The sequence below is a fragment of the Homo sapiens genome, chromosome 5 (genome assembly GCF_000001405.40).
Source record: "Homo sapiens chromosome 5, GRCh38.p14 Primary Assembly".
NCBI classification, from domain to species: domain Eukaryota; kingdom Metazoa; phylum Chordata; class Mammalia; order Primates; family Hominidae; genus Homo; species Homo sapiens.
In genome coordinates, this window is record NC_000005.10 from 132,098,174 (window position 1) to 132,110,181 (window position 12,008).

The following is a 12,008-nucleotide window of genomic DNA, read 5'->3' on the forward strand; positions in this document are numbered from 1 at the left end:
TGGATTGGACAAGCTTGAGAGGGATACTACAAACCTCAAGTTGTTCTTACGTTTCTACCCAGAGAGAAGGCTTTCTCAGACAGTGATCAAATGACTAAGCATGTGCACGGCTCTGGGTCTGAGCAGTCACCAACCTCAGCTGAAGAGGGAAGTTTGGGCACTTCTAAGGAATCTGTTTTGCTAGGCCTCACTATCTCATGCACCCTGACTTGGGCTGTCCATCATGGTGTCAGCACAGTCAGGTGGCCCCTCAGATAAAGCAATGTAACCACTGAAAACAGTTAATCACACAGGTACCACACAAATCTTACCGGACATTTCAGAGACATCTTTACAAACTAGCCTATTGTCCTAAGAATGATTTAAGTTTACTGTTAAAAATTCAAACAAGTAAAGAGCATCCCATATCCAAAGATGGCCCTTGGGTAGCATCCTTCCAGGTACCTGGATTTTCTCATCCATAAAGTCAAGTATATCCAATTATTCCCTGTATGAAAATGCTTCTACTATACAGACTATAACCTTTTTTGTTTTGTTCATTTAAAAATTGTAATGTGCCACATGCCAACAATATTATTCAGAATCAAATGATTCAAATAGCTAAGATAAAGTTGTGACCTAATGTTAAGTCAGCCTACTGTCTTTTATAACAAAAGTGTAGTTTTGGAGAAAATCCTTCCTTTCTTGAACTACTGACAATGATTAACATTTATTAACAATGGTTAACCTTTCTCAAGCATTTACTAAGTTCTAGGCACAGTGGTACTAAGCATTTTTGCATATACTCATTCACTTAATTCATATAACAAGCCTCTCTGAACCTTTGTTCTTCATCTATAAAATGGGAATAATAGTACCTACCTCACAGGTAAGTAATTTTTCAACAGTCCCATAACAACCTGGGGGTGGGGGGACAAGGAGTGATATGGATGTCGGTGTGTGTCTGTAGAACCAAACTGTTCTGCTGAAGAGATCATGCCTCTTGCTCATGTGACACCAGCAGAGTGACTGATATGGAAACGGTGAGCACATAGATGGAGGCTGTCTGGGCGCCACAGTGCCCCGATGCAGAAACTCATCATCACATCAGTGTGTCAACATCACCGAGAAACCTTTGACAAATCTAAAGACCCTGTTAGCAACAGTGAAAGTTTCCTGAAGAGTGAGAAAACCACAGGGAGGAGGCTGTCTTGGCATCTGATTGGCACATTACTTCTACAGAAAGGCAATTAGTCAAATTGGTTTGGGGACCCCAGCTGTTCATGCTTCACCACCTCTTTGAGAAAGAAAAAGGGAAAGTGACATTTACTAAGAGCTTGCTAGTACTAAGACCTTTCATATATTATCATATTTAACCCTCACTACAGCCTGTGAAGTATAATTATCCCATTTTATGTGTGCTAAAGTGAACTCCTAATCTTCCCCTTCATGCCTGCCCCACATATAGTCTTCTTGTCTCAGTTGAGGTCAAATCCTTCTTTCCAGCTGCTCAGAGAAAAACCCTTGGAGTCATCCTTAACTCTGATCTCTCTCTCATACTCAACATCTAAGCCATCAGCAAATGCTGATGATTCTTCTTCCAAAACAGGTCCAGAATCCAACATTTCTCATTTCTCCCCACTTCCACTGAATCCATGATGATTCCAGCCACTATTATCTTCTAGAATATACTTCAGTGGAAGCCTAGCTAATTTCCCTGCTTCTACCTGTTCCCTGCTCTATAATCTATTCTCAACTCAGCAGCCAGAGTGATCCTGTTATGCTCTAGTCAGATCATAGCCCTCTGTTCAAAACCCTCTTGGAGTTCTGTGTTTTACCACAGAAAAGCCATAGTTCCCACAGTGGCCTGCAAGGTCCGCATCATCTTCCCCTTTATCTTTCCATCACTTTCTTTTCCCCTGTGACCCTCTCTGCTCACTCATTCTGCTCCAGCCACACTTGCCTCCATGTTGCTCCTTGAACACACCAGCCTCAGAGCCTTTGCGCTGGCTCTTCCCTGTGCCTAAAAGGGGCTAACGCCTTCAACACCTTCAAGTCTTTGCTCAGATGTTATTTTCTCAGAGATCTGCCATGTCCATACTGTTTAAGATTGCAGCCCCTTCTACCACCACTCCAAGCACTGCTTATCTTGCTCTGTTTTTTCCCATAGCACTTACCACTTTCTAACTTGTTAACAGCTTTGTTGCTTATTTTGTACCTCCCATGCCATGATACACATTTCTGAAGGCGGAACACTTACCTATTTCCTCTACTGATCACTCCCAAGTACCTAAACTAGTACCTGGCACATGGAAGCTACTCAGGAATTTATGTTGAGTGAATGAGTGAGTGAGTGCATGAGTAAATGAATGAATTTGACAGGGGCAAATTCAAAGTTACCAAACTGTCCAAGGTCTGGCAACTAGCAGGAAGGAGGAAGTGGCAGGAACTGGAGTCAGGTGTCTCCCACTCCAGAGGTCCGGCTATTTGCACCAAATACCTCTCAGGAAGAGTGAGGCGGAGGATCCAAAAGCAATGTGACTGCGGAACTTTTGCCTAAGTGACAGTCAGTGGATTCTTTTGGGGTTGGTGCCCATTCAGGGCTAGTCCTTCCTCCAGCTGCACCTGCATCTTCAGCTGGATTCAACACACGGTGGCCCGCCTGAGCACTGGCCTTGAGTCACCCAGAAAGGTATCAGTTGTGGTCAGCACTGATGATTAAGGTGATTGGGGAAGTATGAGAAACCCCTGAAAAGAATGTCTAACGAAGAAGGTTTCACTAATGTCTGGAGTTTGCCCATCTGTGTTATTTAAGAGGCATTCCCCCATGAACTCAGACTTCCACTTTTCTGAGGGCAGAGTAGTCACCTCACCTATACCCAGTTGTCCTCTCAATTTCTTGTCTGTAGTTTGTACGCAAACCATCATTCACCTGCCAAACCTTCCTCTAAACCTGCCCTGAATGCAACGCCTGCTCATTTGCCACTCCCACCTCCTCATGTGTGGCAAGGCATCCTCTTCCTGAATTGTCTATCCTGAGATGACGGTTACACCCTGAGAAGACGGTCTAAGGCTTTGAGGCTGAGTTATTTCTCAGCCCCCTCTGACCCACATCAATATCGGGTACCTGGGGAGGGTAGGTGGGTGATTACCTACTTCTGTGACTTCACGGGCATGAAAAGGGCCCTTAAAGACTTCCAAACATTTGGGTCATTGGGCCAATCCCTGGCTCCTCCAGAATCAAGGCAGCATGCAGGCCTTTGGAAAAAGAGGGATTACTTTCAAATAAACAAACAAACAAACAAATAATTAGAAACAACAAACATTCCTAATGCCACCTAAATGCCACCAACTGACAAGCAAAGCATGCGACTGCCCCCATGGCTTTGGTGGCAGGGCCCAGGGGCAGGCTCTCCTCGCTCCTCAGCCTGGCAGCGCTCCGCCAATTCCAACAGCAGGTACGCTCCTCAGAGGCACCAGTCGAGCCCAGGAGCTGGGGTGAGACACTCTAGGAGTTTGGGAGAAGGGGCTCACCAGGTGAGATTCCCACAGAGAGATGGGCTGCAACTAATTCTCCCTTTCTAAGGGAAGCCCACCCTGGGAATCCAGGTGTGAATGCCACACAGGCTGACACAGTCCTGTCTTTCTAAAGGCAAGGAGCTCTGAGTCCTGTGTGGTTTCCTGAAGGTGCTTCATGAACTACTTCCATTAATAAACTCTTTCATCTTAAATTTTTAAAATGAAATGAAACTGTCCTAGAAAGTTACAGACTGAGTCCCTCACCATTATTGATACCTTGGAGTACATGGGTCTTCCCTTGAGTAGATTTTCTGGGAGCTATTCTACCCACGTCCGTTTGTTGAGATCTTACAGGATTTCTTGCCCCAGTTAAATCTCCTGGGGTAGGCAAAGTGCTCAAGAAGTTGGAATGGGGCTGTGGGGTTCCACAAACAAGGGAAGCACCCAGAGGGCCCAACATCAGTACTCAGGGCCTCCTTGGCTTCTGGCCTGCAGCTGGGGAGGCAGGGCTGCAGTGCTGGAGGGGCATCTCTGTCAGCCTCCTGCAGCACAGGGGCCAGGGTCTGGGGGCAGCAATCACTTTGGTGACTAATAACCTAATCATGGAAAATTACAACTTCCTGAGCTAGGTATATCAGAGGTGGCCACAAAACTCTTTATGATGTGGCCAAAAATTCCTCCTACCACCACAGCCCTTGAAAATAGGTCAAAGACACCTTCTATGGAACTCTCAAAACAGGGCTTAGCTCACACCATCTACCTCCGTCATTGTGCTGCAAACACTGGAGCTTTTGTGAGAATGCTCTCCTCTTCTGCGGTTTGAGCTCAGTTTTGGCTCTGGGCTAATCATCTGTCCTGTCCTACTTGTCTTCCACAAGGGACCGACTGGTCATGAAGGCCATGAAGGCTGTCTGCTGTGTGTCCCTGGAAATGTCTGTCGACAGCCTCTCTAGGCAGAAGTGTTTCTTCTTGTGTACCAACCAAGACCTATAGGCCTCGCCTCATCTCCCAAGCTATACCTCACCACAAAGCAGAACAAGGGTGGACTAAGAACTGGCAGAGACTTATACTTGGCTTTCCAGAGGTCCCAGGTTTGTGGTAGGGGTTCATGAGGCTGGCTGCTGTCTAGATGAGATATGCAGAGTGAGCTCTTTTCCCTGAATGCTGGGCATCCCATCGGTAGTATGGGACAGGGTAAGCTCCTGGCCTGGCTGGCTCCAATGCTGCCTGAGTGAAGCTATGTAACCCTGGGACATCTCTCTTAGCATGCTGATATTTGGCTGCTTCTCTGATAATGGGAGCAGCATTCTCTGGTATGGGGTGCTGTGGAAGACCTAGGGAATGGGACAACAGATTAAAATGGGCTTTGAAGACCCTTGCAGAGGTGACCAGGGAGGCCCAACCTTCTATTTCCTGTGCTCAGGCCTTGGCAGAGACAGAAACCACGAGGCTCCAAGGTCCCCAACCAGTGGGACCCCGACACCAGGAGGACAGGACTCTCAGAGTTCTGTGCCTACTCCTCAGTTTCTTTTGTGTCTGCTGCTATCAGGAGTCCCAATCTACAGGGCTCAATCAGGATGGGATCCTTAGTGTGGCACCTGGGTCAGAAAGCCGCCCCTGCTAAGAGGCTCAGGACAGGGCTAACTGGGAGAAGAGGCCCCACCTAAGTGTCTGCCACCCAAGATGATACTTTTTTTGGCCCAGAAGCCTCATCTGACCTCTGGCCCAGGCCTCAGCCTGGGTGAGGGTGGACATCTCTGTCCTAACAAGATCCTTGGGAGCCTCCAGGCAGTCCCCTTCCAGGGATAAGAGGTCCTGTGTCTGCTTGGCCTAGAGCCAGGCCTGTGCTGAGTCACAGGACTCTGGTGTTCAAGGCCAAAAACAATGACTTAAACATTCTGAAATCCAGGAAAAATCAGCACTGGCTTTCTACCTAAGAACCCTGCCCAGCTAGGCATGAGTTCACCCAGCAAGACAGTGACAAGGACAATGGGAAACTGCCTGTCCCCTGTAGGCAAGAGGAGCAGGGGGCTAAGCCTTGAGCCTGAAACCAACCCTGAAAGATTCTTTAAAAACCCCATATCATTTCATCTAAAATTAGCTTTCAGCATCTAAATCACTTCCTGTTACAGAAACCACAGGCCTGATGCTTCAGTCATCACCCTGCCTGCCTCTAGGGGTGGGGTAGGTGAGGTAGGAGTGCTGCACACAAAAAACAGTGACTATCCAAAAGTGACACAGCAGTCAGGAACCCCTTTCCCCACCCCCCCCACCCACTGCAGAAAGGATGGCTAAGCAGGGCCCTATAATGGTGTTGTTGTGGGGACCAGAGCCAATGTGAACATGCATGTGCATGTAGGCAAATATACACACATATGCACACTCCCCTGCATGCACACTATACACACAGACCAGAGCTTTCTCCACTGCCGCAGAGAGACTGCCGTATGGACAGCCCAAGCACGTCTCCGTTGTGCCCCTTCTGAGCACAGGACTCACCAAGAGAGGAGGGCAAGTGTCTGGCCTCCTTGGAGCATCTGCATCTCTGTTTCCACTTCTCTTACAGCCCTGGTTACTTTATGCCTAATTGGCTGTGAGCGAGGTTAGCCCAGCACTTGGCACTTGGCTCTCACTCATTGTTTCAGCCAACATTGCCAAGTGTTTCCTGTGTGCAGAAAACCAGGTGGTGGCCGGATTGAGGATGTGGAGCAAGTCAGAGGCCATCCCTGTACACCAAGAACTGAAGTTGAAGAAACCAACTGAATCTCTAAACCAGAGATGTCCAATCTTTTGGTTTCCCTGGGCCACTTTGGAAGAAGAATTGTCTTGGGCCACACATAAAATTCACTAACACTAACAATAGCTGATGAGCAAAAAAAAAAAAAAAAAAAAAAAAAAGAAAGCAAAAAATCTCATAATGTTTTAGGAAAGTTTACCAATTTATGTTGGGTCACATTCAAAGCTGTCATGGGTAGTATACAGCCTGTGAGTCATGGGTTGGACAAGCTTGCCTAAACCATCCAGAGAGCTCTGTTCTTCCTACTGCCTCAAGCTAAGCCCTGACCCAAACCTGAGACCTGGATTGAAGGATGCCAGCATCTGTGCACAGATAAACTGCAGCCACAGAAGGAAGACACTGATCATCTGTCACAAACTTGGTGAGTCATAAATAGTGCCACCTAAACCATGAGATAAACTGGGGGTGCACCTGGAAACCAGGTAGCCCCCCTCAAGGGCAGGGGCTTTTGTATTATAGGTCTGCTGCTATTCTCCCAGTACCCTCAATGGCACATGTCATGTAGAAGAGTCTCAGTAAATACCTGGTGGGTGACAGAATGGAGGTGGGTGATTCTGTTGATGAGCAGGCTGGCACCGATGAGCATGGAGTATCTGCCAGCCCTAGGATGGTGCTGTGTCTGTGTCCATCCACTGTATGGTTACAAGAACTCAAGGTACCTGGGATCCCTCAGTCCTCACAGACCAGCTCCCAAGCTGGGCACAAAAGACAATGTATGTTGAGTGTTGTTTCTGACATGAGACTACTGGGACAGTAGGTGTCTGCCTGCTCCAGTATGAGGGATCCCACTACTTTGTCACTGGATGGCTTTGGTTGCAGTGGTTTTCTAACCAAAGCACAATGACCCTTCAGTGGGGTCAGCTTCAGCAAGATAAAGGCCTGGCCTGAAACAGGTGTCTTCTATAAGAAAGACAGAGTTGTGTCCATTATGCCTCTCTCGCTGCTTCCTGGTAAAGGGACCTAGGCATCCCTGGGTGACTGGAATGCCTGGTGACCACTTCCATCCACCCCCATTAGCTGCTGCTAAGGTACACATGAAGTATCTTAGGTTCCCAGAAAGAGAACCCCTGTTGAACAGTAACAAGCCCCAGCACAGGGTGCTAATGATTTATCTGCTTTCACATTTGAGCGTGCTTTCTTGGAAGTGATGGAGAATCTTCGGCCTGAAGATGTGGAGGCGCATGCAGAGTCCTGAGCTCCCCACAGGCAGCTTAGGTGTAACTGAGAAGGAGCTGTGAGCATATCTGGCTCTCCAGCTCCCACAGCAAGCGGGGTCCACCAGTATTGACATGGCTCTTGTCTGCATGATAAGCTGGACCAACAAGGCCAGGGCTCTGCCCACAAAGCTAAACTAGTATGGGGACTTGGCACTTGTCCCTGTCAGGGGAATGGTAAGCATTTTCGCACAGACTAGACATATTTTCCAAAGGCCTGCTTTAAATCAGGCCTTATCTGGGCACTGAGGATACAATTAGGAAGAAGACAAAAGTCTGTCTCTCAACAATGGCATATTCCACTGAGGGAGACATGTAATTATAATACCAGATTGTAAGTACAAAACTAGAGAGGTATTAGAAAAAGACAGACATGGTGCTCTCGGTGCATAGAGAAGGAACATGCCACCCAGCCTGGAGGCTAGGCACAGTTTTGGTGAAAATTTTTACTGAGGTAGAACTCAGTAGGAATAAGACATTACCAAATTGAATTAAAAGAATAACAGATCATGATCAAGCAGGGTCATTCCCAGGAATGCAAATTTGATTATGGAAAATCTACCAATGTACTTCTCCACAATAATTGGTTAATCTAAAGATGATCATCTCAACAGAAACATCCGTTTATGAGAAAAATTCTTTGTCTACTAGGACTACTAGGAAGCATCCTTAATAAGATCAAGAATTATACCAGAAACCGGCCAGGCGCAGTGGCTCATGCTTGTAATCCCAGCACTTTGGGAGACAGGCAGATCACTTGAGATCAGGAGTTCGAGATCAGCCTGGCCAACATGGTGAAACCCCATCTCTACTTAAAAAAAAAAAAAAAAAAAAAAATTATCCGGGCATGGGAGTGTGTGCCTGTAATCTCAGCTACTCCAGAGGCTGAGGCACAAGAATTGCTTGAACCTGGGAGGTGGAGGTTTCAACGAGCCAAGATTGCACCACTGCTCTACAGCCTGGGTGACAGAGTGAGACTCTGTCTCAAAAAAAAAAAAAAAAAAAAAAGAGAGAGAGAATACTATAAACACCTCTATGCAAATAAACTAGAAAATCTGGAAGAAATGGATAAATTCCTCGACACATAAACTCTCCCAAGACTAAACCAGGAAGAAGCTGAATCTCTGAATAGACCAATAACAGGCTCTGAAATTGAGGCAGTAATTAATAGCTTACCAAACAAAAAAAGTCCAGGACCAGATGGATTCACAGCCGAATTCCACCAGAGGTACAAGGAGGAGCTGGTACCATTCCTTCTGAAACTATTCCAATCAATAGAAAAAGAGGGAATCCTCCCTAACTCATTTTATGAGACCAGAATCATCCTGATACCAAAGCCGGGCAGAGACACAACAAAAAAAGAGAATTTTAGACCAATATCCCTGATGAACATCGATGCAAAAATCCTCAATAAAATACTGGCAAATCAAATCCAGTAGCACATCAAAAAGCTTATCCACCATGATCAAGTGGGCTTCATCCCTAGGATGCAAGGCTGGTTCAACATATGAAAATCAATAAATGTAATCCAGCATATAAACAGAACCAATGACAAAAACAATATGATTATCTCAACAGATGCAGAAAAGGCCTTTGACAAAATTCAACAACCCTTCATGCTAAAAACTCTCAATAAATTAGGTATTGATGGGACATATCTCAAAATAATAAGAGCTATCTATGACAAACCCACAGCTAATATCATACTGAATGGGCAAAAACTGGAAGCATTCCCTTTGAAAACTGGCACAAGACAGGGATGCCCTCTCTCACCACTCCTATTCAACATAGTGTTGGAAGTTCTGGCCAGGGCAATCAGGCAGGAGAAGGAAATAAAGGGTATTCATTTAGGAAAAGAGGAAGTGAAATTGTCCCTGTTTGCAGGTGACATGATTGTATATCTAGAAAACCCCATTGTCTCAGCCCAAAATCTCCTTAAGCTGATAAGCAACTTCAGCAAAGTCTCAGGATACAAAATCAATGTACAAAAATCACAAGCATTCTTATACACCAATAACACACAAACAGAGAGCCAAACAATGAGTGAACTCCCATTCACAATTGCTTCAAAGAGAATAAAATACCTAGGAATCCAACTTACAAGGGACATGAAGGACCTCTTCAAGGAGAACTACTAACCACTGCTCAATGAAATAAAAGAGGATACAAACAAACGGAAGAACATTCCATGCTCATGGGTAGGAAGAACCAATATCATGAAAATGGCCATACTGCCCAAGGTAATTTATAGATTCAATGCCATCCCCATCAAGCTACCAATGACTTTCTTCACAGAATTGGAAAAAACTACTTTCAAGTTCATATGGAACCAAAAAAGAGCCCACATTGCAGAGTCAATCCTAAGCCAAAAAAACAAAGCTGGAGCATCATGCTACCTCACTTCTAACTATACTACAAGGCTACAGTAACCAAAACAGCATGGTACTGGTACCAAAACAGAGATATAGACCAATGGAACCGAACAGAGCCCTCAGAAATAATGCCGCATATCTACAACGACCTGATCTTTGACAAACCTGACAAAAACAAGAAATGGGGAAACGATTCCCTATTTAATAAATGGTGCTGGGAAAACTGGCTAGCCATATGTAGAAAGCTGAAACTGGATCCCTTCCTTACACCTTATACAAAAATTAATTCAAGATGGATTAAAGACTTACATGTTAGACCTGAAACCATAAAAACCCTAGAAGAAAACCTAGGCAATACCATTCAGGACATAGACATGGGCAAGGACTTCATGTCTAAAACACCAAAAGCAATGGCAACAAAAGCCAAAATTGACAAATGGGATCTAATTAAACTAAAGAGCTTCTGCACAGCAAAAGAAACTACCATCAGAGTGAACAGGCAACCTACAGAATGGGAGAAAATTTTTGCAATCTATTCATCTGACAAAGGGCTAATATCCAGAATCTACAATGAACTCAAATTTACAAGAAAAAAAACCCATCAAAAAGTGGGCGAAGGATATGAACAGACACTTCTCAAAAGAAGATATTTACACAGCCAAAAGACACATGAAAAATGCTCATCATCACTGGCATCAGAGAAATGCAAATCAAAACCACAATGAGATACCATCTCACACCAGTTAGAATGGTGATCATTAAAAAGTCAGGAAACAACAGGTGCTGGAGAGGATGTGGAGAAATAGGAACACTTTTACACTGTTGGTGGAACTGTAAACTAGTTCAACCATTGTGGAAGTCAGTGTGGTGATTACTCAGGGATCTGGAACTAGAAATACCATTTGACCCAGCCATCCCATTACTGGGTATATACCCAAAGGATTATAAATCATACTGCTATAAAGACACATGCACACGTATGTTTACTGTGGCACTACTCACAATAGCAAAGACTTGGAATCAACCCAAATGTCCAACAATGATGGACTGGATTAAGAAAATGTGGCACATATATGCCATGGAATACTATGCAGCCATAAAAAAGGATGAGTTCATGTCCTTTGTAGGGACATGGATGAAGCTGGAAACCATCATTCTCAGCAAACTATCGCAAGGACAAAAAACCAAACACCGTATGTTCTCACTCATAGGTGGGAACTGAACAATGAGAACACATGGTCACAGGAAGGGGAACATCACACACTGGGGCTGTTGTGGTGGGGGGGAGCGGGGAGGGATAGCATTAGGAGATATACCTAATGTTAAATGACGAGTTAATGGGTGCAGCACACCAACATGGCACATGTATACATATGTAACTAACCTGCATGTTGTGCACATGTACCCTAAAACTTAAAGTATAATAAAAAAAAACAGCTCTGTACAATATTAAAAAAAAAAGTACAAAGGATGTTCCTGAGATGAAGGTGCATGTGGGGGCTGCAGCTCCCCACTGCCTTTCTTGCTTTCTCACAAAGGCATCCTCCAAGTTCAATGGTCTTGGCAGCCTGCATAAAATGAGATGTCCCTCATGTCAGAAGAGTCCAGATTCGAGCCCTCACTGCCCTTTACAGTCCTTCCTGTGTGAGCACCAGAAAGAGCTTACACTACCAAAGAAAGCAAGAACTCTGCTCTTCAGTAAGCCACATTACATAGGTCTAATATGCAAATCCTAGGCCTTAAAAAGTCTTGTGCCAGTATCTTGGGCAATCTTTCTTTAAAAACTAGTTGTACAGTTTTGGAGTTTACAGTTCATGTTTACTCTGGGTCTTTGAGGAAGCAGGCCTGGCCAGGGTCTAACACAACTGGCGTTTTATGTCAGTATGAAACGAAGAACCTTTCAATAAACAGCACTGAGGCAATTGTTATTAAATTGGTTAGGAACACTTTCAGATTTAAGTAAGAGAAAAGACAACTCAAATTGGTTTAAACAATAAGGAAAAGTAAATGTATAGAAAGACGTCTGGAAGGATATACACCTAGCTGAGAATTGTGGTTACTTGCAGAAGCTGGAGTAGGGGATGGGGATCAGGGCAGCCAAAGGGCGGCCACTTTATTTAACTTTAC

General features: G+C 44.9%; 4 annotated features.

Moving 5' to 3' along the window:
• Positions 3–297: an enhancer, noted in NCBI's record as "tiled region #12197; K562 Activating DNase matched - State 5:Enh". NCBI's record gives its function as "activates a minimal TATA promoter and a strong SV40 promoter by Sharpr-MPRA in K562 cells {active_cell/tissue: K562}" and the evidence as "EXISTENCE:reporter gene assay evidence [ECO:0000049][PMID:27701403]".
• Positions 5,223–5,517: an enhancer, noted in NCBI's record as "tiled region #14284; HepG2 Activating DNase unmatched - State 10:DNaseD". NCBI's record gives its function as "activates a minimal TATA promoter and a strong SV40 promoter by Sharpr-MPRA in HepG2 cells {active_cell/tissue: HepG2}" and the evidence as "EXISTENCE:reporter gene assay evidence [ECO:0000049][PMID:27701403]".
• Positions 5,223–5,675: a biological region, named in NCBI's record as "Sharpr-MPRA regulatory region 14284".
• Positions 5,296–5,675: an enhancer, noted in NCBI's record as "active region_23060". NCBI's record gives its function as "activates an Ori minimal core promoter by ATAC-STARR-seq in GM12878 lymphoblastoid cells {active_cell/tissue: GM12878}" and the evidence as "EXISTENCE:reporter gene assay evidence [ECO:0000049][PMID:35858748]".